Raw genomic sequence first — 26562 nt, forward strand, 5'->3', positions numbered from 1 at the left:
GGGTTCACACCATTCTCCTGCCTCAGCATCCTGAGTAGCTGTGACTACAGGTGCCCGCCACCACATCTGGCTAATTTTTTTGTATTTTTAGTAGAGACGGGGTTTCACTGTGTTAGCCAGGACGATCTCCTGACCTCGTGATCTGCCTGCCTTGGCCTCCCAAAGTGCTGGGATTACAGGTGTGAGCCACCATTCCCGGCCCCTGATTTTCATTTTTTTAATGCATTACTTATCATCTTTTCTCCCTGACACCTTTTTTCTCTTTTTCCTTGATATTCTGAAGTTTCTTTCTGTATGAGTGCGTGAGCATGTGCATACAGGCACACACACAACTCTGTACAAGTTCTGTCCAGCTGTCAGTTCAGTAATTGCTGAATTGTTAATTTCAGTCACTATATTTTTTATTTCCAGGGATTCAAATTGATTTTTGTCTCAGTTCCTCCTCTATTTCTCTAAGGTCTACATATTATAAAGTCATTTCCTGACATTCTGCTATCACCATTCCCTCGGTTCTTCCACGGATTGTCCTGTCTATTTGTGGTATATAACTTCCCCACGTGTTAATTTCTGGTTCTGCCCTTGTCTGCTATGAGAGGCTTCTCTAGGTGTGTTCTCAATGGCAGACTGCTCCCCACAGGCAGCCCCTGGAGACATCTCTTCACAGTGTATCAGCCCAGGCCTCCAGGCTGCAGATGGCTGTGGCCTCTGCTCGCCTCTTCTGTTCCCCATGTGCATTTTCTTTTTCTTTTTGGCTTCACTTCTGAGTTATTCATTTAGCCATTTACTGCAGGAGCGAGGTGAGGATAGGAGAGTGCTTGGGGTGCCCTCAATGTCCAGTGTGGCCTGGGGTTCCCCGAGCAGGACAGTGAGTTTGGGGTCTGGGGTTCAGGCACTATGGCAGTAGGCTGTGCAAAGTGACAGGAAGACATCCACCTTGCACATTTTCTTTTTTTTTTTTTTAAAGAAAGACAATATCAAGTCCACAGGGGTCCCCTCTTTCCACTCCATGCTTAGTTATGTATTTGTTACTCTGCTTTAAAATATATGTATTTTTTGTAATCCCAGCTACTCAGGAGACTGAGGCAGGAGAATCGCTTCAACCTGGGAGGTGGAGGTTGCAGTGAGCCGAGATCATGCCACTGCACTTCAGCCTGGGTGACAGAACAAAACTCTGTCTCAAAAAACATATATATATATATATATATAAAATCCATGTCTAATGATGTTCTATAGAAGAAAGAGATGTAACGTGGTCACGCTGCCATCTTGACAGTGGAATTTTTTTGTAGTTGTTTTTTGTTTTGAGACAGAGTCTCACGCTTATGGCCTAGGCTGGAGTGCAGCAGTGCCATCTCGGCTCACTGCTACTTCTGCCTCCCGGGTGCAAGTGATTCTCCCACCTCAGCCTCCTGAGTAGTTGGGATTACAGGCGTCTGCCACTACTCCCAGCTAATTTTTGTATTTTTAGAGGGACAGGATTTCGCCATATTGGCCAGGCTAGTCTCAAACTCCTGACCTCAGGTGATCTGCCTGCCTTGGCTTACCAAAGTGCTGGGATTACAGGCATGAGCCACCGTGCCCGGCCAACAGTGGACTGCTTTTGTCTGTCTACTCTGTGAAATAGTAAGACCTCGCAGGCCAGGAGCTCAATATGGATCCAGACCGGAGTGAGGATGGCAGAGGCGCAGCGGCGTCAGGGCCTGAGTCCGGGTCCTCCGGCTCACTCTGGCCACACCGCGAGGGTCTTCTCTTGTGCCTAATCAGCCCTCCACACTGGTGTTGGCTGAGGTGTCCACTCCTTCCAGGGTTTTGGATCTCTGGTGCAAGTTCCATTGTCTCAGCATCAACTTGTCCCGGGCCCAGCCTACCCAGCTGGCTGTGTCCTGTCTTGGAGTGGCCAAGCCACTCCCACGAGGGCTGCAGGCAGTTCTGTGAGGCCGCTGCCTGAGACCACTCAGCCTCACTGTCTTTACTGACCCCACGTGATGGCCTGGGGATTTCTCTCAGCCCTAGGATGTCAAAATTCAGTGGTTCTCAAAGGTCAGTTGTGCAATCGAACCACCGGGGGAGTTTTTAAATTACAGATTTCCTGGCACTGCATCCCAGAATGTCTTATTCTGCGTAAGTCTGGAGTGAGGCCTAAGAATGTCCATGTCTGTCTGTCTTTCTTTTTTCTTTCTTTTTCCTTCCTTCCTTCCTTCCTTCCTTCCTTCCTTCCTCCCTCCCTCCCTTCCTCTTTCTTTTGTTCTTTCGTTCTTTCGGCTCTTGCTCTGTTGCACAGACTGGAGTGCAGTGGTGCGAACATAGCTGGCTGCAGCCTCAATCTCCTGGGCTCAAGAGCTCCTCCCACCTCAGCCTCACAAGTAGCTGGGACAACAGGAGCACACCACCACACCCAGCTAATTCAAAAAAAAATTTTTTTTTTTTTGAGACTGAGTCTCACTCTGTCACCAGGCTAGAGTGCAGTGGTGCAATCTTGGATCACTGCAATCTCTGCTGGCTGGGTTCAAGCAATTATCCTGCCTCAGCCTCCTGAGTAGCTGGGATTACAGGCGCCTGCCACCGCACCCTGCTAATTTTTGAAGTTTTAGTAGAGACAAGGTTTCACCATGTTGGTCAGCCTGGTCTTGAACTCCTGACCTCGTGATCCACCCACCTCGGCCTCCCAAAGTACTGGGATTACAGGCCTCAATGAGCCACTGACTGCGCCCGGCCTTCAAAAACTTTTTGTAGAGATGGGGTCTCGATATGTTGCCCAGGCTGGTCTCCAACTCCTGGCCTCAAGAGATCCCCCAACCTTGGCCTCCCAAGCTACTGGGATTCCAGGCACGAGACACTGGGCCTGGCCCTAGAATTTTCATTTTTAACCAGGTACCAGGTGAGGCCAGTGTTGCTGGTTGAGGGACCACAGTCTCAGAACCACCACCCTAGAGAGAGGAATAGGGAGCTGTTTTTCCTGTTTCTCTCTTACCTTGACTTTGGAAGAATCGAAGCCAGGACTTTGACATATTTATTCTCCGGTTTCACTGGCATGGGGATCATGCTCACAGCTAATGGTGTGAACTGGAGGATGGGGAGAAGTGTGGGCTTCTGGGGGAAAACCCACTAAATGACCATAATACCATTGGTTAAATTTAGCTGGTATTTAAGGGGATGGTCTCTTTTATCCAAGAAGATATATACACATATAATTTTAGAAGTTACTACTTCTTTCTTTTTTTTTTTTGTGAGATGACGTCTCACTCTGCAGCCCAGGCTGGAGTGCAGTGGTGCTATCTCGGCTCGCTGCAAGCTCTGTCTCCCAGGTTCAAGCGATTCTCCTGCCTCAGCCTCCCAAGTAGCTGGGACTACAGGTGCCTGCCCCCACGTCCAGCTAATTTTTTGTATTTTCAGTAGAGATGGGGTTTCACCTGTTAGCCAGGATGGTCTTGGTCTCCTGACCTCGTGATCTGCCCGCCTCAGCCTCCCAAAGTGCTGGGATTACAGGCACGAGCCACCGCACCCAGCCCCTACTTTCTTTTTTGTAGTTACTCCCTCTGAGATCCCTTCGACAGCAGACTCTGAGAGTTGGATGGGATCTAGTACAGGCACCTAGAGAACATTAATACCACACACCTGGATCAGAAGGCCCCATAGAAGTGAAAAACTGAAGAACTTCAGATGCCTCAACTGACTTCACAGGCTGCAGATGGAAGAAAACCAATTCCAGGGAGCCCTGTCTGCCTGTGTTGTTTGTGTGAGTTACTTAAGCAGCCAGATCAAGGGCTGGCCGCCCCTCCAGGTGATTCCCAGCCTCCACCACCTTCTCTTGCAAATGCTCCCTCAGTACTATGTAGACAATCAGAGAAATAATCAACATTTTATAGATGGCCTGACATACTCTTTGTGTATGTGATTTGCTAGCTTGGTATTTTAAATATGCTAAATCCAAGACATGCGTTAAAATTTAAAACCCCGCTAAGGTGTAGGAGGAAGGCACGGCGTATAGTAAATGTAAGAAGTTAATGGTTCTCATAGCAACAGCAGAAAACATAGTTGAGCTTTTCCCACAAGCCTGGCCTTCATTCAGCATTGGATGTCTCAGGGAAGGGCACCATCTTTCTTCAAGATGCAAGAGTCAGAGACTGAAGGCCAATGCTGGCACTGCCTCTCCCTCGGCAACTTTCTATCTGAGAGCACGTGTGCGCAGGCGCGCACACACACACACACACACACACACACACACACACACACACAGGGCTCACAAAGGCCTCTTTTTTGAGCCTTTCAAACAGCTCTCAGTCCATGTGCTGCACTCCATCTCCCCATCCCCCTTCATCTGTGTGCATCCGCTGTGGTCCACACAATCCAATCCATTCTGCACTCAGCAGCCAGTGTGATTTCTTTTCTTTTTTTTTTAACAATAACCTTAACACAGATAATGTTAGTAGCTCTTAAGCATGTCAGGAGATTCTCTACCTCACACATAAGAAGGGCAGGACAGGCCGGACACGGTGGCTCATGCCTGTAATCCCAGCAGTTTGGGAGGCGGAGGCGGGCGGATCATGAGGTCAGGAGATTGAGACCATTCTGGCTAACATGGTGAAACCCCGTCTCTACTAAATATACAAAAAATTAGCCGGGCGTGGTGGCGGGCGCCTGTAGTCCCTGCTACTAGGGAGGCTGAGGCAGGAGAATGGCTTGAACCTGGGAGGCGGAGGTTGCAGTGAGCCGAGATCACACCACTGCACTCCAGCCTGGCGACAGAGCTAGACTCCATCTCAAAAAATAAATAAGTAAATAAGGGCAGGACACTCTCAGGTCTCGCTGAAATGCTGTTTCTCCATGGTCAGACTGGTGACATGAAAACATTTGATGACACAGCTGACAATTGTTGGGGAAGCAGACACTCTCATCTGCCGGTCACAGCCATGAAAACAAGGAAGCCTCTATCCCACCATACCTTGTCATGGGAGTTGGATAACATTTATCAAAGCTAGACACTCATATGCTTTTGGACCCACTTCTAGAATCTATCTGATCACACAACATGTTATATAGTGATGGTTATTCAGCACCTTTGTTTGTAAAATAACCTAGGTGTTCATCAGTAGGGGATGGGTGAAAAGGTAGGAGGATACATTCATATAATGGAATTCTATATAGCTGTGAAAAACAATGAAGGAATCTTCTACGTACAGACACAGAATGTTCTTTAAGATAAACTGTTATGTGAGAAGAGCAAGTTGCAGAATGGTATTGAGAACCAATACATATTTGCTCCCACTTGCATAAAATCTTTCTGGAAGGGGACAGCAGAAACTGATGATATGAAGCCATACTAAAGGAACTGGGTGTCTGTGGAGAGGAGACTTTTTCCTATGTCCTTTACTGTTACTTTAGAATTGTATTTAATTACTTTTAAAACAGAGACAGGGTCTTGCTATGTTGCCCAGGCTGGTCTTGAACTCCTGGGTTCAAGTGATTCTCAAGCTTTGGCTTCCCAGAGTGCTGGGATTACAGGTGTGAACCACCCCACCTGGCCTGAAATGTTAAAACCACATTCCTGTGTTACCCATTCAAAATATAACTACACAAAAATGTATAAAATGTATCATGTTGATATAGCTTGCACATGTGTCCCCTCCAAGTCTCATATGGAAATGTGACCCCTAGTGTTGATGGCTGGGCCTAGTGGGAGGTGTGTGGGTCATGGGGGCGGTTTCCTCGTGAATGACTTGCTGCCTTCCCTGCAGTCATGAGTTCACAGGAGAACTGGTTGTTAGGAGACTGGGACCTCCTCCTCTCGTTCCTTCTCTCACCATGGGACACACCTGCTCCCCCTTCGCCTTCTGCCGTAAGTAAAAGTTTCCTGGAGCCTTAACACAAGCACAAGCAGATGTTGGTTCAATGCCTTTTTTTTTTTTTTTTTTTTTTTTTTTTTTTTTTTGGGAGAGGGAGTCTTGCTCTGTTGCCCAGGCTGGAGTGCAGTGGCACGATCTTGGCTTACTGCAAGCTCCACCTCCTGAGTTCACGCCATTCTCCTGCCTCAGCCTCCTGAGTAGCTGGGACTACAGGCGCCTGCCACCACGCCTGGCTAATTTTTTTGTATTTTTAGTAGACACGGAGTTTCACCATGTTAGCCAGGATGGTCTCAATCTCCTGACCTCGTGATCCACCCACCTTGGCCTCTCAAAGTGCTGGGATTACAGGCGTGAGCCACTGTGCCCAGCCCCATGCTTCTTATACAGCCTGCAGAACTGTCAGCCAATTAAACTTCTTTCCTTTATAAATTACTCAGTCTCAGGTATTTCCTTTTTTCTTTTTTCTTTTTCTTTTGGGATGCAGTCTCTCCCTGTCACCCAGGCTGGAGTGCAGTGCTGCGATCTCAGCTCACTGTAACCTCAGCCTTCCGGGTTCAAGTGATTCTCCTGCCTCAGCCTCCCAAGTAGCTGGGATTACATGCATGTGCCACCATGCCCAGCTGATTTTTGTATTTTTAGTAGAGACGGGGTTTCACCATGTTGGCTAGGCTGGTCTCGAACTCCTGACCTCAGGTGATCCGCCTGCCTTGGCCCCCCAAAATGCTGGGATGACAGGCCTGAGCCACCATGACGGGCCAGGTAATTTTTCATAGCAACGCAAAGTGAACTAATACACATGTCAATACCCACAATGTACCTGATATATAGCAGCCCGTCAGTATTTGTTGAAGGAAAGAAATATGCCACCCTGGCCGGGCGCCTTGGCTCACACCTGTAATCCCAGCACTTTGGGAGGCGGAGGCGGGTGGATCACGAGGTCAGGAGATCAAGACCATCTTGGCTAACACGGTGAAACCCCATCTTTATTAAAAAAAAATACAGGCCGGGTGCGGTGGCTCATGCCTGTAATCCCAGCACTTTCGGAGGCCAAGGCTGGCGGATCATGAGGTCAGGAGATTGAGACCATCCTGGCTAACACTGTGAAACCCCATCTCTACTAAAAATACAAAAAATTAGCCGGGCATGATGGCTGGCACCTGTAGTCCCAGGTACTCAGGAGCCTGAGGCAGGAGAATGGCGTGAACCCGGGAGGCGGAGCTTGCAGTGAGCCGAGATCGCGTCACTGCACTCCAGCCTGGGCAACAGAGCGAGTCTCCATCTAAAAAAAAAAAAAAAAAAAAAAATAGGGCCGGGCGCGGTGGCTCACGCCTGTAATCCTAGCACTTTGGGAGGCCGAGGTGGGCGGATCACGACGTCAGGAGATCGAGACCATCCTGGCTAACACGGTGATACCCTGTCTCCACTAAAAATACAAAAAATTAGCCGGGCGTCGTGGTGGGCGCCTGTAGTCCCAGCTACTCGGGAGGCTGAGGCAGGAGAATGGCATGAACCCGGGAAGCGGAGCTTGCAGTGAGCCGAGATCACGCCGCTGCACTCCAGCCTGGGCAATAGAGGGAAACTCCGTCTCAAAAAAAGAAAAAAAAAATTTCAGAAAACTTAGCCCGGCATGGTGGCAGGTGCCTGTAGTCCCAGCTACTCAGGAGGCTGAGGCAGGAGAATGGCGTGAACCCGGGAGGCGGAGCTTGCAGCGAGCTGAGATCGCACCACTGCACTCCAGCCCGGGTGACAGAGTGAGACTCCGTCTCAAAAAAAAGAAAAGAAAAGAAAAGAAATATGCCATCCCACTCCGGAATATGCTCTGTATTCGTTACCTATAGCTGCATAACAAATTACTCCAAAACATGGCAGTTAAAACGATGTACATCTATTATCTCCCAGTTTCTGCTGGTCAGGAATCTGGATGCCTGTGGCTCACAGTCCTTGGCAGGTTGTAGTTAAGCTATAAGCAAGGTCTGCTGTCACCTGAAGGCTCACCTGGGGCTGGAGAAGCTCCTTGCATGCACATGGAAGTAGTGTTCACAGGGCAGTCCTCATGAGATCCATGTCCAAGTTTACTCACCCACCTGGTTGCTGTCAGGCCTGGGTTCCTCAGTATCTGGGCCACCCCACAGGCTGCATGAGTGTCCCCACCATGCAGCAGCTGGTGAGTCAAGAAAAAGAGAACAAAAGAGGGCATGCAGAAATGGAAGTCATAGTATTTCCTTTGTAAACAAGTGTCAGAATTCACATCCCATCCCTTCTGGAGAATTATTATTATTATTATTATTATTATTATTATTATTATTTTGAGACAGAGTCTCGCTCTGTTGCCCAGGCTGGAGTGCAGTGGCGTGATCTCGGCTCACTGCAAGCTCCGCCTCCCGGGTTCATGCCATTCTCCTGCCTCAGCCTCCTGAGTAGCTGGGACTACAGGCGCCCACCACCACGCCCGGCTAATTTGCTAAATTTTTTCGTATTTTTAGTAGAGACGGGGTTTCACCGTGTTAGCCAGAATGGTATCGATCTCCTGACCTCGTGATCCACCCGCCTCGGCCTCCCAAAGTGCTGGGATTACAGGTGTGAGCCACTGCGCCTGGCCCCCTTCTGGAGTATTTTGTTCACTAGAAGTAACTCAGGTAGTCCAGCACACACTCAGAGGGAGGGGATTACACAAGACCATGGATCTCAGGAGGCATGGGCCATCAGGGCCATTTTCACGGCCACCTACTACCTTCTCCAGAGGCTTTACTGTTCTTCCCTGGGATGCCCTTCACACACCCTCCTGCCTCTCCAGCCTCCTCTGCATGAGCCTCTCTCAAATTCCTCAAAAGCACTTTACTCCTGACAGCTCCAGGTCTTTGCACATGCTGTTCCATTGCCTGGAATGCCAACTCAAATGGAAGGGAAGAACACCCACTCTCCCACGAGGAGTTTTCACAGTACCGCGTTCCCATCCTTCCTTGGGCATGCCTCATTTGTAATTTCCCTTTGAATGGTCATTGGATTAATAGCCATCTCTCCCAGAAAGCTCTGAGGGGGCAGTGAGCATGTCTAGTTTTGCTTCAATGACATCCCCAATGCCTAGCATGAATTTCATGGTAACTACCCAATAAATATTAGGTGGAGGAATCCATTCTCTTCCTTGAATCAGTCAGAGTCCCAGTAGAAAACAGATGGTACTTTCAGATGGGATAAATGAGGAGTCTTTAGTGAAAGGACTATTTACAAAGGCGGGGCAGGGTTAAGTGCCATCAACAAAATAGCCCCTTGGGGCTAGCACCACTGGAGAGCTATGAGCACTCCCAGGCCTAAAGGAGCAAGTGAAGGGAAGGATTACTGGAATCCAGCGAGGCCTGCAGTTGGGGGAGAGAGCTGAGTGCAGGAGCTAGAGTCTCTGGTAGGACAACAGGGCCAATTCATAGTGCTAGGGAAGGAGGAGAGCTAGGACCACATGCACCAGCATCACCCTCCACTCCCTGCAGTCTTTTTCAGTATCTCCCACTGGGCAAACCCAGCTGGAGGCCAGAGGGCCAGGGATCCCATGGGTCTGTCCTCAGAGGTCAGTTTTTCAGGTGCAGAGCAGTGGGGAGGTCTGGAGAGCAAGCAAGGAGCTACCCCATGCAGCCACCACCATACCCTCCTGCCCTGCGTCTGGAGGAAGTCTCATCAGTACCGTATTATTGCACAATTGTGTCAACTCAGTCGCATTCTCACTTGGAACCTAAAATGTTAACCAGTTTTGTTCATATGAGGAAATGGGGAAAAGAAAGAGTTAACTAACCCAAAGCATACTAGGTGTCAGGGACTATGCTGTTTTGCTCTAGTCTGGAAACACATCTGGAGTATTTCTAAGCCATCTCTGAAATGACAGCTGCAATTGGCGCCACTACCAGGTCAAGCTTATGACCATCTGTTGTCATTTTCCAAGATTCATATTCCATCTACACAGGGCAAAGAGGGGGCCGTAACGGGTATCCCACCCCGCTCTGTTCCAGGCTGTTGTGGTGACAATGGTGTCTGAGGCTTCCCTGCACACAGCGCCTCCTGGTTCACTAACCCAGGAGGGAGGAGCAGCTCTTCGGCCCTCCCTACTATAATGGCCCTCATCCCATGGGTCAGGGCAGCCCATGCGGGGACTCTTTTTTTTTTTTTGAGACAGAGTCTCCCTCTGTCGCCCAGGCTGGAGTGCAGTGGCGCTATCTTGGCTCACTGCAAGCCTGCCTCCTGGGTTCATGCCATTCTCCTGCCTCAGCCTCCCGAGTAGCTGTGACTGCAGGCACCCGCCACCATGCCCGGCTAATTTTTTTGTATTTTTATTAGAGACAGGTTTTCACCATGTTAGCCAGGATGGTCTCGATCTCCTGACCTCGTGATCCTCCCGCCTCGGCCTCCCAAAGTGCTGGGGTTACAGGCGTGAGCCACCGTGCCCAGCCCCCATGTGGGGACTCTTTGAGAGGCCGCACTTATTCATTCCCAAGATACATCCCAGAACTGGGGCATAACCATGGGGTAGACCTGCAGACCTGCTGGGCCCACTGTGAGTCAGATTTGGAGCAAAACTCCATTATCACCTGACTACCATAAACCCCGACTTTGACTGATAGCACACACTGGCATTTTGCTTCCTAAGAATATTCTAAAAATTTCATAATTTTTTTTTTTTTGAGATGGAGTCTCACTCTGTCACCCAGGCTGGAGTGCAGTGATGAGATCTCGGCTCACTGCAACCTCCGCCACCCAGGTTCAAGTGATTCTCCTGCCTCAGCCTCCCGAGTAGCTGGGATTACAGGCACCTGCCATCGCACCAGGCTAATATTTGTAGTTTTAGTAGAGATGGGGTTTCACCATGTTGGCCAGGCTGGTCTTGAACTCCCGACCTTGTGATCTACCCACCTCGAACTCCCAAAGTGCTGGGATTATGGGCGTGAGCCACCGCACCCGGCCAAAATTTCATAAGATTTAATGTCATTTTAGAGCCCATGTCCAGAAATCCCCCAAAAGGTCGTGGCATGTCCTTTTTTTTCCACGCACACAAGACCTCCATACATGGCCAAATGTCCCTATGGGGAAGAAGTGGACGAAGATTTACAGCACATATTTGTGACAATGTCACAGTGTCCTTCCTTGGGACACTGAGCCTCCTCTTCAAATCAAGGGACTCTGAGTCTGTGAACTAGTTTCAATGTGGAAATTTGCTGTATGTATTTCATTCCTTGAGGCCCATTAGCAACTGGCAAAGGTCATGTGGGTCAAAGCGTTCTGGTGATCTCTGTCTTCCTGCCCATTACAACGAATACACCCCCTTGTCTTTGGTGGTTCAGAACTGCTACCTGCCGTTGTGGAATTCCACCATCATCCATGAAACCAGGGGAACCATCTCAATAGTGACGCTGCCCACTCTCAGACCTGGTCCAGGGAGGAGAGCAACCACAGGGTATTTAAGTAAGAGCTGTATTTAAGTATTTAAGCTCTTTAGATATGGGAGAGCTGGCAGTTTCCACCAGCAAAGCAAAGACGTGGGTTCAGACAGGCTCAGGGTTCAAGATTCGCAACTCCACCTGCGTCTACTCAGATGAATGTGGACAGCCTCTAGAAGCTGGAAAAGGTGGCTGCATGTGGTGGCTCACACCTGTAATCCCAGCACTTTGGGAGGCCGAGGCGGGTGGATCACGAGGTCAGGAGATCGAGACCATCCTGGCTAACACGGTGAAACCCCGTCTCTACTAAAAATACGAAAAAATTAGCTGGGCACATTGGCAGGCGCCTGTAGTCCCAGCTACTCGAGAGGCTGAGGCAGGAGAATGGCGTGAACCTGGAAGGCAGAGCTTGCAGTGAGCCGAGATAGCGCCACTGCACTCCAGCCTGGGTGACAGTGTGAGACTCTGTCTCAAAAAAAAATAAAAGAAAAAAGAAAAAAAAGAAGAAGCTGGAAAGGGTGAGGAAGTCATCTCTCCTAGAGCCTCCACAAGGAAGAGAGTCCTGCCATCACCTTGGTTTTAGTCTATTGAGACCCATGTCACACTTCTAACCCATAGAACTGTGGACTGATCCATTTGTGTTTTAAGCCCTGGAGTTTGTGGTGATTTGTTATAGCAGCGGCAGGATACTGATACACTCACCTTCCCCTAGAACCTAGGAGATGGCTCCAGGGAAGTCTTGCCTCAACTCCTCTCCAGGAGTCGTGTCTTCTGCCATCTGTCACATACCAGGAAGTGGCACTCTGAGTAGAAGTCCTGAATAGCCCTTCTCTCGGAATAGCTCAATCATTTGCCCAAATTATCTCAGATGTTCAGTGACTTATGGGCATGGATGTCCAATGATTAAGTGGGGAAGATGCCAGCCTTAACCTCTTGTTGTTATTAATTCATTATATACAAACAGTCATTGTCTATGGGGAAAATCTAGCTTGGGAGGCTTCGTGGGATGAGCTTCAGACCTGTGGCTGCAGTTGGTCCTGAGGCTATAAATGATATATTGAACAACTCCCTCCATGTTACAGGTTAAGTTTTGTCCCTATAAATATTCTTATGTTGAAGTCTTAACTCCCAGTATCTCAGAGATAGGGTCTTTACAGTGGCGATCAAGTTAAAATAAGGTCATTTAGATGGGCTCTAAGCCAATGACTGATGTCCTTATGTAAAAAAAGAAATTTGGATACAGACACAGCCAGCCTGTCACTTCAGAAGGCTAAGCCTACGCTCCATCAGGCCAGAAACTTCTGGCTGGTGTGGAATCTGGCGGGAGCATGGGTGTGGACCTTATGGCCACGTTCCCATTGCTACGCTGCCCTTGCCAGAAAGGCAGTCATGGGTCCGAGGATCCCACGTTGGTAAATCCTTAACTAGTGGTCCTGGCAAAAAATGCAAATCTATTTCTGGAATATATGGCGACCCCAATCAGGGTGAATTGTAATTTTCAAAGCTGAAGAGGTCTCGTGTAATTGTTTTGCCATTGAGTGTGCTATGGTCTGAACGTTTGTGTCTCCAAAAAGTTTGCATGTTGAAACCTAATTCCCAATATGATGGTGTTTATGAGGTTGGGCATTCAGGACTTGATTAGGTCTTGATGGTGGAGGCCTCATGAATGGGATTCGTGTCCTTACAACAGAGGCCTCAGAGAGCTGGCTTGCCTCTCTAACATGTGAGGGGATGGCTAGAAGGCGCCATCTATGAATAGAAATCAAGAACTCACCAGGCACTGGATGTGCCAGCACCTTGGCCTTGGACTTCCCAGCCTCCAGAACTGTGAGAAATACATTTCTCTTGTTTAGAAACCACTCAGTTTATGATAGCTTGTTACAGCACCCCACATGGACTAAGCAGGCTGGTTGGTGGTTTTGAGGGGTGGTGGCTGACAGGGGCTCAGCACGGTCTGTGATGCTGACAGATCGGACATTCTGCAGTGATAGTCCTGGCTCAGCTTTGGTGGGAGGAAGTCCATGCTGTTGGGACATCCATAGCCTCCTTCTCTGCCACCATGGCCACTCTTCACAGGCCCCTTGTGCAAGCCTTGGGCTGCCTGAGGGGGAGGCATTGGTAGACATTGACCCGATGAGTCCTCTTGCCTGCCTGGTTGGTGGTTTCATGTTTCTTCTCTGGTGGGCATTGATGTGCAATATCACGACCTTTTACGTGGTGCTCACTCCCAGGGGTCCGTCCACATGTGGCCACCTTGTCAAAAATGTCCAGCCTTATTCCTTAGACCCTGACTAAGCAGCCAAGCTATTTGCTATTGCCCATAAATATAGCTAATCTTGGGCCATTCCTCACTCCATTCAAAGTGACTGACCAGGCGCTCTGCCTGAGGCTCTGCCCATGGGAGGATTCTATTTCTCCACTGTCTTTCAGGGCCCCCCCGAAAGGAGGCTCCACTTCTTCCCTATCAGAGTCCTGACTGGCATGGGAGAGTGCTGAGGCCGTGTATCTGGCCATCGCTGAAGTCCTGCTTCTCTTCACATGACCTGGGCCAGGTCTCCTCCTCCAGCTGTAGGAGTTCACATGCAGCCATGTGCCTTCAGTGGGTTGTCAATCAACCTGAGCCTATGCTGTTCTCTCACCTCCCTCCTGGCTTCAATCATCAGAAATATTGCCCCATTCAGGGCATGCCCTTCCACTTGGCTTCCAGCTTGGCAGAGCTGCAGCCAGGGGAGCGTGCTGGAGTCTCGGCCCTCCACTCACTGCTGGGACTCAGGCCTTCCTGCCCTCTGCCTGGCGAGTCACCTGTCTCTAGAATCCCAGCCTCAGAGTCAGCCTCACAGGCCACTTCCTTACCAAGGTTCTTGGGTCTGTCTGGTGCCCTAGAAGCAGAACCAGAGATAAACATCCCAGTGCAAGTAACTCCCTAGAGAAGCAGGACAGATGGTAGAAGAGACTGAGGAAGGTGCGATTCCCAGCCTTGCTTGATCCCCTGGGGAGCTCCGGAGTCAGTGACTGCTCAGCGCTTGTCCCACCTCAGGGTAAGAAGGCTTCCATGTTCCTCCTCCCATTCCAGGCCTGGGGGCAAAGGAGCTGTATACTCCCAGGAAATGCCAGCGTTCTGCTGGTGAGGGTGGAGCCACTGCAGTCGTGTGAGGGGTAATTATCCAAGGAGAGTGGAGGTACAGGCCTGGAAGAAAAGCTGGCAGAGGGTGCCCACAGGATGGGGCAGGCAACACTGATGTCGGCTGCCAGGTGGTGCTGGTGCCTTCGTTTCAGAGATGTTGTCTGGTTTTCTGGGGCTGCCAGAACAAAGTACTGTGAACTGCGGGCTTGAACAGCACATGTTTATTATCTCACAGTCCTGGAGGCTGGAAACCTGAGATCAAGGTGCAGACAGGGTTGGTTCCTTCTGAGGCCTGCGGGGAGACTCTGCTCCAGGCCCCTCTCCTGGTTTCCGGTAGCTGCAGAAGTTCTTTGGCTGGTAGACAGCATTCTCCCTGCATGTGTCCACTCTGTTTTTTCTTCGTGCAACTGTCTCTGTGTGTTCAAATTTCTCCTTTTTATAAGCATGCCAGGCAGATTGCATGAGAACCCACTCTCATGACCTCAACTTCACTCAATCATCTACAAAGACCTTCTCTGCAAACAAGGCCACATTCACAGCTACTGGAGGGTTAGGACTTTGATTTGTGTGTGTGTGTGTGTGTGTGTGTGGACACAATTCAGCAGGTGCTAAAATGTAAAACATAGAGTGTCTTAAAATTGATGACATATGGCACAACCTGGACTCTCCTGAGCCGAGTAGTAGTTAGCACGTGTCTTTATTTTTATTATTGTTATTATTTTTTGAGACGGAGTCTCACTCTGTCGCCCAGGCTGGAGTGCAGTGGCACCATCTCGGCTCGCTGCAAGCTCCACCTCCCAGGTTCACACCGTTCTCCTGCCTCAGCCTCCTGAGTAGCTGGGACTACAGGTGTCCGCCACCACGTCCGGCTAATTTCTTTTTCTATTTTTAGTAGACACGGGGTTTCACTCTGTTAGCCAGGATGGTCTCAATCTCCTGACCTTGTGATCCACCTGCCTCGGCCTCCCAAAGTGCTGGGATTACAGGTATGAGCCACTGCGCCTGGCCTGCATGTGTCTTTACATAAAATTTCTGACTTGGTCTCCTAAATGCACAAAATATTCCCAAGCATAATACAACCCTGTGGTTATGTACAGGATTAAAATAGCGACAGATTCTCAATTGAAAACTTGATCCTGGCCTGGCATGGTGGCTCACACCTGTAATCCCAGCACTTTGGGAGGCCGAAGCAGGAGGATCACGAGGTCAGGAGATCGAGACCATCCTGGCTAACACGGTGAAACCCTGTCTCTACTAAAAAAAAATACATAAAATTAGCCAGGTGTGGTGGCGGGTGCCTGTAGTCCCAGCTACTCGGGAAGCTGAGGCAGGAGAATGGCGTGAACTTGGGAGGCGGAGCTTGCAGTGAGCTGAGATCGTGCCACTGCACTCCAGCCTGGGTGACAGAGGGAGACTCCATCAAAAAAAAAAAAGAAAAGAAAACTTGATCCTGAGTGGTCCTATTGCAGTGGTTGAACTGACACCTCCAGCACCTCTGAAAAGGTGTCGCTCAGTAACAGTCGGGTTGGGGGGGACCAATAATTAGAATGAGCTTCAGACAACTCAAAAGACTCCACCCTTTCCCCAGCGCCTCCTGCCAGAGGAAGCATGTGTCTGTGACTTGAAGGCATCTGGAACTCACAAGGTGAGGCTCGTTCTTCCCATGTCCTCTCTCTTGCTGCCTCCACACCTATGAGAACGATCTCATCCCAACATGCCTGGGAAGGCCTATTTCTAAGGCACATGCATAAGGTGAATGCCTTCACAGCAAAATAAATGAGGCCTGGGATAGACTCTTCCAGTATTCCTGCTGCCTGGGAAGTTGGTGAGACCCCAGCCTGGAGTCAGTCCCCGCCCCCATCCAGTTCCCCAGGAGAGGCTGACAGCTTGGAGTCGGGTGAAGCCCTGCAGTGCAGCACCAAGTCTGGGTCTGAACTCTTCACCTGTCCCCAGTCCCTGCCCCATCTTCTGTCCTCTCTGCCAATCTTTGCTGAAGCCCCTGGGTTCCCACTGAGCTTATGAATCAACCTATGATCCATGATGGAAGGGCCCAGCTGGACACAATGCCTTCTCTAAACAGATTATCAGCGGTGGGAATTGAAGGCACTATGCAAGGCTGATAAGACAGATCTTTGGGAACAAGAAGGCCTTGAAGTGCTTCTGAAATATTTTTCTTCATTCATTCATTCAGTCATCAGAACCTATACTTAGGGCCTCCTCATATCTGGGCATCGTGGCATGAGCTGTGATGCGTGGGGTGGGGGGTCCAAGCAGGTACAGTCCCTCTGAAGGAGGGAGAGAGAGAGAGAGAGAATTGCTAATCATGCAAATAAAGGATTGCAAGCTGTGGTAAAAGCCAGGGAGGCCAGTGCAGGCTGGCATGAGCACGCAGCCCTCAGGACTGGGCCCAGTGGGTTGGCAGTCAGTGAAGGATTTCCTGGAGAGCCGAGGGCCCCGTGGGAAGCACGCTTAGGGCAACAGCTCCCGGCACTGAGAAGGCTGTGAGCGGGGACCTCACGGAGCAGTGGGGAGCAGGGCCACTGGCCTCCCTCCCCTGCCTCGGAGCCTAGGGTGGTGGGGAGCGCCACTGCTGGCCCATTTGGAACTCCCAGCCTCCAAGGCCTGGCTTTCTGTGGGGGGTGGCTTTGACAAAAGCATCTTTGAGAAAGCATCAAAGAGACCACAGCAGAGAGAAAGCAACCCCGCTGCAGGGGAACAATGCCGCAAATCCTTCGCTCTGGAAACTCTAAGACGGCTTCCTGGGGTCACTAAATTCTGTGTAAAGGGTTCCAGGAATGCTTTCAAGACAGGCAGTCAGACCCAGGGAGATGAGCCCAGACCCAGTGTGGTCATTGGTGCAGGGTGAGGGTGGAGGGGGGGGCACTGGGGAGGAGGTGGAGGCACAGAGCCCAGGACAGGGCAGTGGAGGAGGAGCAGGAGGGGTGGGCTCCACATTGAGAGCCTGCACACTTCCTCCAGGAAGCCCTCCCTGCAGCTTTTCTCTTCACCGGGTAACCACCTATCTGTCATCTGCCCTAATGCAGGCATCAGGGTTGTCCTTGTCACCCAGCACTGCAGTCCCTCAGGCCTGGCCAGGCAGAGGCCCTGGGCCTCGCCCAGTGGATCAGGCACTCAACTATGCCCCTGGGAGAAGAGTGCATGCACGTCCCCTGAGCCCTCTCCTTTTCCCGGTGGGGGACAGCATCTGCTGTTGGATCTGGGATGATCCTCTCCAGGCCTGGGTTGGGGGTACCGAGAGGGAGGATAGGCATGGGATGGCGGATATGACTTACAGGTGCCTACTCTGCTCAGGAGCAGCGGCGCAGGACGACTGGGCAGACTGCATGGGAGCCCTGCCTCATCCAGGGTGGGCTTCCTGCAGAGTCTCTGGCTGGACCCCCAAGGCTAGGGCCACAGCCCCATCACTACCTGGGTCTCTGTCGTCCCATACTGTGGAAATATAGCAATGTTTTTTTCTCGTTCTAAGTCGTTCACTACGTGTGATTAACTTTTATATATTTGGACTTTCTGGCCTGGTGCGGTGACTCACGCCTGTAATCCCAGCACTTTGGGAGGCCAAGGCGGACGGATCACAAGTTCAGGAGATCGAGACCATCCTGGCTAACATGGTGAAACCCTGTCTCTACTAAAAATACAAAAAAAAAGTTAGCCGGGCTTGGTGGTGGGCATCTGCAGTCCCAGCTACTTGGGACGCTGAGGCAGGAGAATGGCGTGAACCCAGGAGGTGGAGCTTGCAGTGAGCCAAGATGGCACCACTGCACTCCAGCCTGGGCGGCAGAGTGAGACACCATCTCAAAAAAAAAAAAAAAAAAGACTTTCTTCCATGTAAATAAATGGACATATTTGAAGATACTATGGCAGTGGAGCTGGGTGCAGTGGCTCACGCCTGTAATCCCAGCACTTTGGGAGGCCAAGTTGGGAGGATCACCTGAGGTCAGGAGTTCAAGACCAGCCTGGCCAACATGGTGAAACTATGAAAATACAAAATTAGCCAGGCGTGGTGGCGCTTGCCTGTAATCCCAGCTATCTGGGAGAATTGCTTGAACCTGGGAGGTAGAGGTTGCAGCAAGTGGAGGTTGTGCCATTGCACTTCTGCCCGGGCAACAAGAGTGAAACTCCATCTCAAAAAAAAAAATGGCAGTGGTTCTTAATCTCAGCACATCTTGACATGATATCTTGGCTTAGACCAGTTCATTGAGTGGGTGGGCACCTGTCCTCTGTATTGTAGGATGTTTAACAACATCCCTGAACTCTACCCACCAGATGCTGGTAGCATCACTCCCCTAAGTTGTGACAGCCTAAAACATCTGCAGACATTTCCAGATCATTGCAAAATCGCCCCCAGTTGAGAGCCACTGACATACAGGGTCAGGCCCCAAGTTCTCAGATGAGACTAGGAAACGTGGTGTCTTTTGTATAAGCCAAGCGCGAGCAGGACTGAAGAACAGGTGAGATGAACTGGGAGCCTGGGGTGAGGTCATTCAGGTCACGGTCTCGCGCCCATGGAGAAGCCACATTGTGCAGTTGTCCTTAGAGTTCCCACGTGTGGCTCACCAGGGCCATCAGGCGAGCTCCCGCAACGTTGAAAGCCACTGTGCAGCCCAGCACTAGCCATTGTGAAGCTGCTCCTTATGGCACCCTTCCACATCGTGGACCCCTCTGCAGCACTGGCCCCAGCACACTTCTGTGTCTCCCCACATGACAGCCAGTCCAGCCTCGGAAGGCAGCTCTCGAAAAAGCTCCCTGAGCCATTACTGCCACGCACTTAATGCACCCAATTCCTTCCGTTCCTTCTCGGACACGTTCTAAGGCTCCAGGAGAGCTGCTCACATCAGATTGTTTCAGGAACTGAAATAGGCACTGTGACCATGAATGCTGCTGCTCTTTCTGGAACCCCACAGCTTTGTGTCTTCCTACTACCTATAGCTACAACAAATAACCACCATGATTCTCACTATATCAGTGAGGACTCTTTTTTTTTTTTTTTTTTTTTGTGACGAAGTCTCACTCTGTCACCAGGCTGGAGTGCAGTGGCGTGATCTCTGCTCACTGTAACCTCTGCCTCCCGGGTTCCAGTGATTCTGCTGCCTCAGTCTCCTGAGCAGCTGGGACTACAGGTGCGCGCCACCATGCCCAGCTAATTTTTGTATTTTTTAAGTAGAGACGGGGTTTCACCATGTTGACCAGGATGGTCTTGATCTCTTGACCTCGTGATCCGCCCACCTTGGCCTCCCAAAGTGCTGGTATTACAGGCGTGAGCCACAGCGCCCAGCCAGTGAGGACTCTTAAGGTTACAGGAGATAGGAGCTCAACTTCAACTGACTTAAGTAACGCAAATGTCTAGAGGAAGGGAGATCAGGCAGGGTTGGACCCAGAGCCACAGATGCCGTCCACCTTCAGCTCTGCTTCCCTCTGCTGTAGCCTCACTCTCCCACCAGCGCCCTAACAGGGCAGCTCCAGGCTCGAATTGTCCTTACTGCTTACAATCTCAGTGGAGAGAGCGCTGCCTTGCCAGTGCTTCCAGTGAGGTCCTGGGATGGAATCTTGAGGGTCTTGGGTCCCATACCCACCCCTCAGCTAAGCCCTGGAGTCAAGGGGATGGAATACATGGAGTGGCCAGGTCCAACTCATATGCCCACCCCAAGTGACGGAGGAGGGTTGAGTGGGGCAGAGGCCAGTTCTTCTAAACCAGGAGGCTGAGAATGAGGGAGGACAGATCTGGGGGTGCTGCTTCGTTCTCTTTTCTTGATAATCGCTGACATGCTGCCTGCCCTACCAGCAGGAAGCCATCCCATCCTGGGTTGAAAATGCTCCTTGCCGTGGGAGTTCAGTTCCCTTCCAAACGCCCCACGGCCATAGGACAGGGCTGTCAGGTCTTGACAGTGGAAGCCCCTTGATGCCCACAGGCAGCCTTGCAGATGGGTCGTGCCTGCCCTTCTCCGGCTCCTTGTTCCCTACTATGGTGAGTCACACAGCGGGCTCTGCCCGGCTCACAGCTCTGCTCCTGGTCTGCGGCCATCCCTGGCCACTTGTCCCCAGACACATCCCTGTGGGGCTAGGATCAGAAAAGTTTCCAGCATCCCCTCTGGCTCTGCTCTCTGGAACTTTCAGGCTGGGTCCTGGGGTCCTGCCTGGATGCCCCTTCCTCTGGGGAATATGTATCACCAGCCTGTCCGCCCTTCTGTGCCTCTCAGCTCTGATCTGGGTCATCCTGGCCCCCCAGGAAGGTTTCTTGTGCTGTATCTTGGAAAGGAGCAGTTGCCGTCTTAGTCCTTCCCTCCCAGGAGGCCTGACCTCCTGTGAACACTGACTTACCTCCAACACTCTGCTGCGGATCAGACTCACACACGGGGTATTGGAGGGCAGCTTCGTTCCTATCACTGTCTGGCCCACCAAGATACTTGTAGTGCTGACTCGTTCTATGTCCACATAACTAGACATGCTCAAGTGCCTGTCTAGACCATATTATACAATAAGAACTTTGCTCTTTCTTCTACATACCGTCTATACTATAGATGCTACCTATAGCCACACCTAACGATCTCTGTGACCTTCACTCTGTTATCTACACAAAAGAGTCTCTAGGATAAAGAAGGTCGGCACTGTGGTGATTTTCCAACCCTACCTACCTTTACTAAAATGCAGTTGGTGGCTGGGCGCGGTGGCTCATGCCTGTAATCCAGCATTTTGGGAGGCCGAGGTGGGCAGATCACTTGAGGTCAGGAGTTCCAGACCAGGATGGCCAACACGGTGAAACCTTGTCTCTACTAAAAATACAAAAATTAGCTGGGCATGGTGGCGGGTGCCTGTAATCCCAGCTACTCTGGGAGGCTGAGGCAGGAGAATCGCTTGAGCCTGGGAGGCAGAGGTTGCAGTGAGCCGAGATAGTGCCACTGCAATCCAGCCTGGGAGAAAGAGCTAGACCCTGTCTAAATAAATAAATAAAATGCAGTTGGTAACTGATCTCATGAAAAGAACAAACCTCTGCTGTTGCAGCACACCAGCACCTGCACGGTGGGTCCCTCCTCACAGGCCCTCCCGGTGGGTAAGGGCTATACTTCAGGCTCCTCCACAGACAGTCTGGCCTGCTGACTGTTCTACGTGGCTCCCAAGGCCAGGGTCAGGTTTCCATTGTTTACAATTATCCATTTATTTCTACAAAGCCTGGATTTTGAGCCTTGAGATCAGCCAAATAAATCAATGGTATTTACTTTTCTGGAAGATACTAGCTTCTACGGTTGTCAAAGACATTTCCATGCTGTCTCTGTGTCTTCCAAAATAAAGCAGTGGGTCTTGGAAAAACCTATTAGAGTGTGATCTGGTTAGTGATTTTTCCACTGACTTAAATCCTGAAGGCAAGAAAATCAGACTCCCACAGGGGTGTTTAGCATTTCCTTCTTACACACCCTGGACCTTGGGGATTTTCTAGGCCAACTTCCTCACCGAAACCCAGGAGGAAACTGTACCGTGGAGGCCCCAGCTGATTTACTTGAGTCCCCCCGCCTGGCTGGTGCCTTAGCTGGGACCAGAATGTAGGCCTCTTGACTCTTGGTTCAGGCCACTTTAGACTCCACAAGGATAAAATGAGCAGTCAGCAGGAGGAGCCTAAGAGCTTGATATTCCCAGGCCCAACAAGGCCTGTGCCAAGCAGTAACTTTATGAGAAGGAAGTTATTCTGCCATCCCCACAGAGAGAGGACATGTCTTTATTAATTAAGCACATTTTTACAGTCAGCCAAAGAGTGAAGGAAAAATTAGTATTCTGTCATTTGGAAGTTTTGTAAAGGAACATCTTGTTCAGCTTATAAAACAATGCATTAATCTTCTGTCCTATATAGGAAAGTCATATGTTATTTTTAAAAAATAAGTTAGGGTGTGAGGAGGTGACAAGTTTCCAACTCCACTTGGTAACACCTTGTAGGAAATCTGGCCTGGTCCAGGAGCCCCTCTAGGCTGAATGGTATCGGCATTAAGCATGCAATTCATGTATGCTGTCACTAAGTGGTGGTAGGGATCACAGCCATGTGGTCCAAACATATAGTCACAGACCTTCCTTGTTCTTCTTTTTCCCCCTAAAACAATAGACAAAAGATTTCAGAGATCTTTTACCCTCCAAAGGGTTAAAAACCAGGGTTAAGAATGATAATTACATTTTTTTTTCAGAGATAGATAATATCATATACTTCAAAAATTAAAAATTGGCCAGGTGCGGTGGCTCATGCCTGTAATCCCAGAACTTTGGGAGGCCGAGGCAGGCAGATCACGAGGTCAGGAGATCGAGACCATCCTGGCTAACACAGTGAAACCCCGTCTCTACTAAAAAATACAAAAAATTAGCCGGGCATGGTGGCGGGCGTCTGTAGTCCCAGCTACTCTGGAGGCTGAGGCAGGAGAATGGCGTGAACCCAGGAGGCGGAGCTTGCAGTGAGCCAAGACAGAGCTACTGCACTCCAGCCTGGGTGACAGAGCGAGACTCTGTCTCAAAAAAAAAAAAAAAAAAGAAAAAGTAAAGGAAAAGGAAAATCACTGAAAAGTTTTCCTGTCACCCCCGCCCCAGACACTACTTTCTTTCCCAAGGGTGACAACATTTTTCAGTTTACTGTGATCCTTCCAGAAAGGCTTTATTATTGTATATGAGCATCTATAGGCTCACCCTTTTTTCCTTTTTGCTTTTTTTACTCACATGGTGGCATACTACACACATCTTCTGCCCTTTGTTCTTTCACTTAACAATTATCTTGGAGAACTTCCCATGTTAATTTATCATGCGTTTCTTCCTTCTTTTATGGCTGCATTCTATTTCAGTGTTGGGAAGTGCCCTCATGCATTGAACAGTGCCCTTTTCATGGGTATCAAGATTGTCTGCAGTCACTTACTACAGAAACATAGCACCATGAATGATTCTACTCATGCCTGTTTTGCACGTGTGATATACAAGTCAAAAAATTCCTAGAAGTGAATTCTTAGGTCAAAGAGCTTGTGCATTTGTAATTTTGATAGACATCATCTGATTTTCCTACACAGAAGTTGTACTGATTTACACTCCCATGGGCAGTGTGGGTATCTGCCAGTTTCCTCTTGCTTTCTGGAATATATTGTATTACTGAACTCCTGGGTCTCTGATCAGTGAACACAATGACATCTCAGCATAGTTTTAATTTGCATTTCTTTTTCTTTTTTTGAGATGGAGTCTCACTCTGTTGCCCAGGCTCAAGTGCAGTGGTGCGATCTCAGCTCACTGCAACCTTTGCCTCCCAGGTTCAAGCGATTCTCCTGCCTCAGCCTCCCAAGTAGCTGGGATTACCGGTGCTCACCACCATGCCCAACTAATTTTTGTATTTCTAGTAGAGACGGGGTTTCACCGTGTTGGCCAGGCTTGTCTCAAACTCCTGACCTCAAGTGATCCACCTGCCTCGGCCTCCCAAAGTGTTGGGATTACAGGTGTGAGCCACCATGCCTGGCTTAATTTGCATTTCTTATTATGAATAAGGGAGGACAGCTTTTCAGATGTTTAAAAGTCATTTGTATTTCCTTCCCTGTGAATTGTCTGCTTCTTACCCTTTACCTGTTTCTTTGTCTTTTCTGTTAAGAGACAGTCTCATACTGCTGCCCAGGCTTAGTGCATTGGGATGATCATAGTTCACTGCAGCCTGGAACTCCTGGGCTTAAGTGATCCTCCTGTCTCAGCCTCCTGAGTAGCTGGGATTACAGGTGTGAGCCAAGGTGGGGGCCTGGTGATGATCCGTGATGCCTTCTTTTGATTTTTTTTTTCTTATCAATTTCTAGATGCTATCTATGTGTTAGGGAAATTAGCTGCTTGTGATATGAATTGCAAATAATTTTTTCCCCTTTGTTGTAGACTTTGCTTATGGTAGTGATTGCCATGCCAGAGTTTCTTTGAAGTCAAACTTAGCTGTTTTTTTGTTACCACTTTTTGATTTTGTTGCATACTTAGAAAGGCCTTTCCCATTCCAAGATACTTTTTTTTTTTAAATTTAAAATTTTAAGTTCCCAGATACAAGTACAGAACGTGTAGGTTTGTTACATGGGTATATGTGTGCCATGGTGGTCTGCTGCACCTATCAACCTGTCATCTAGGTTTTAAGCCTCACATGCACTAACTGTTTGTCCTAATGATTCTTCAAAAATTCTCTGAATACTGGCAGTTGGCTCAAGCTCACCAGATTTAGGAGTCCTGAGTGAGGCTGGGGGCAGGCCTGTACCTTTATTTTTAAATTTATTTAATTTATTTCATTTTTTAAAATGATAGGGTCTTGTTCTGTCACCAAGGCTGGAGTGCAGTGGCACGATCACAACTCACTGCAGTCTTGAACTCCTGGGCTCAAGCGAGCCTCCTGCTTCAGCTTCCCAAAGTATTGGGATTATAGGTGGGAGCCACTGTTCTTGGCCCTAGGCCTATACCTTTCATCTTGTGGACTGAGGACTTCAGCCACTATCACTCCCGGGTGCTGCGATGGGGTTTAATTTCCAGTGACTGGCCCAGAGCCTGCTCATGGGAAGATCTCAAGGGAGGCTGTTGAAGGAACAGCATGCAACTTACCGGCCCACACACGTTCACACAGATGGGGGTGGGGGTTTGAGGAGGTGGGGGGTGTTGTGTGGATCAGCTTCAGGCACAGGTGTCTGGTTTCCTATGGGATGTGACCACATAACAGTAAGGCAAGAAGATGACTGCATTTATCTTCTCAGAATCACTTCTTCTTAATTGTTGCTTCCCACTATTGGCATTGGTGAAAGGCTGGGCCACAGGAGGCTGGATGAACTTTGTGTTAGCCAGGTAAGCAGAATGTCTATGCAGGTGGAAAGTAGACAGTGAAGGTGTGCTCATCTGAGTACGGAGGGGCATAGGTCAGGAACCTCGTTGGCCTGCCCTGGCCTTTGCCCCTTTGTTTGGCCCTGTGGCTACAAAGCTCCCCTACCAGGAGCAGCCCCCACTGGCGGCTCTGGCCCTGGAAACCTGTGAATGTTTGGTGGGGGCAGGGTGTGGAGAGGCCAAGTCCACAGTGTATCTAACCCTAGTCCATCTCAGGATTCGGCTTCCCCCAGCCCCTTCTCCTTAGGGTCTCAGCTCGGGCCCTCAGGGCAGCAGGAAGATGCGCTGTCCTCACTCCCAAGTCCCCCTGCCCTTCTGTGCCTTCTGACCTGGGCAGAACTTCCCATGCCACAGCTTCGCCTAATCCAGCCACAGGAGAAAAGAAAACGAGGGCAAATCACCACGATTTGGGGGGAGGGAGGCCCCTGAGCCCCCGCTCTGCCCAGACAAGGCATCCTGTGCATCTCCCATGGCTCATCACATCTGCCTGGGACTCAGTGAAAGGGCCAGAGGGCCAAAGGTGACACCGGAGTCTCCAGCACGACCTTCGAGGGCCTCCAGGGCATTTCTCGCGCTGTAGGGGCGGAAGACTGGCTCCCCTGGGGATGCATGTGAGTGTCTAGGAGTGTACGCTCCCCAGGGCCCCGCGGAGGTCAGGGTTCTCTCCATTTAGGACAGCAAGGAGAGAAAGCCCTGGAGTGAGGCCCTGGGGCTGGGGGCTAAAGCAGCACAGAGTATCAGAAACGGGGTGCTGGGATGGTTACCGGGGACCGCCAGGGAAGACTTGGGAGTCCAGCATGCGCCTAGGGGAGCTGCGGTGGGGAGGCAGCAGGGGGCCTCCTCTGCCGGATGGGGCCTTCGGAGGCCGCGATCCCCGAGAGTTCTTCGCTCGAGGGTTCTTCGCTCTAGGGTCCCCCATTACAGCTGCGCGGGGCCGAGCAAGCAGGGCGCGGCGGCCGGGGCAAGGTGCGGAGCCTCGCGTTCACCGGCTCTACCTGCGGAGCCTCGCGTTCACTGGCTCTACCTGCGGGACCAGACCCCTGCAGCTCCCCAGCCAGCACGGCCGGGGCACGCCCGGGAATCTGTGTGCTCCCCAGGGCCCGGGGCGTTCGGGGCGCCGCGCCTTCCAGCGCCTGGGTCCCAGCCCCGATCCCGGAGACCGGCCCGGGGGGACCCGGGGTCCCGAGTGCACCCTCCTGCCCTGCAGACTGTCCCAGCGCCGGGGCCAGGGGGCGCAGGACCTCGCGCACGCCCGGCACGGACGCATCTTTGTCTTCCCTCTCTTCACGGCGCGCGATCTAGCCGGGAATCGTTTTCCGGCCCC

General features: G+C 50.5%; 5 annotated features.

Moving 5' to 3' along the window:
- Positions 1158-1759: an enhancer, noted in NCBI's record as "H3K27ac-H3K4me1 hESC enhancer chr15:29105715-29106316 (GRCh37/hg19 assembly coordinates)". NCBI's record gives its function as "activates a minimal SCP1, AML or CMV promoter by ChIP-STARR-seq in naive H9 embryonic stem cells {active_cell/tissue: H9 hESC(naive)}" and the evidence as "EXISTENCE:reporter gene assay evidence [ECO:0000049][PMID:30033119]".
- Positions 15806-16427: an enhancer, noted in NCBI's record as "NANOG-H3K27ac-H3K4me1 hESC enhancer chr15:29120363-29120984 (GRCh37/hg19 assembly coordinates)". NCBI's record gives its function as "activates a minimal SCP1, AML or CMV promoter by ChIP-STARR-seq in primed H9 embryonic stem cells {active_cell/tissue: H9 hESC(primed)}" and the evidence as "EXISTENCE:reporter gene assay evidence [ECO:0000049][PMID:30033119]".
- Positions 16428-17048: an enhancer, noted in NCBI's record as "OCT4-NANOG-H3K27ac-H3K4me1 hESC enhancer chr15:29120985-29121605 (GRCh37/hg19 assembly coordinates)". NCBI's record gives its function as "activates a minimal SCP1, AML or CMV promoter by ChIP-STARR-seq in naive and primed H9 embryonic stem cells {active_cell/tissue: H9 hESC(naive and primed)}" and the evidence as "EXISTENCE:reporter gene assay evidence [ECO:0000049][PMID:30033119]".
- Positions 17049-17669: an enhancer, noted in NCBI's record as "OCT4-NANOG-H3K27ac-H3K4me1 hESC enhancer chr15:29121606-29122226 (GRCh37/hg19 assembly coordinates)". NCBI's record gives its function as "activates a minimal SCP1, AML or CMV promoter by ChIP-STARR-seq in naive and primed H9 embryonic stem cells {active_cell/tissue: H9 hESC(naive and primed)}" and the evidence as "EXISTENCE:reporter gene assay evidence [ECO:0000049][PMID:30033119]".
- Positions 17670-18290: an enhancer, noted in NCBI's record as "H3K4me1 hESC enhancer chr15:29122227-29122847 (GRCh37/hg19 assembly coordinates)". NCBI's record gives its function as "activates a minimal SCP1, AML or CMV promoter by ChIP-STARR-seq in naive and primed H9 embryonic stem cells {active_cell/tissue: H9 hESC(naive and primed)}" and the evidence as "EXISTENCE:reporter gene assay evidence [ECO:0000049][PMID:30033119]".

This window comes from Homo sapiens, chromosome 15, assembly GCF_000001405.40.
Source record: "Homo sapiens chromosome 15, GRCh38.p14 Primary Assembly".
NCBI lineage: Eukaryota > Metazoa > Chordata > Mammalia > Primates > Hominidae > Homo > Homo sapiens.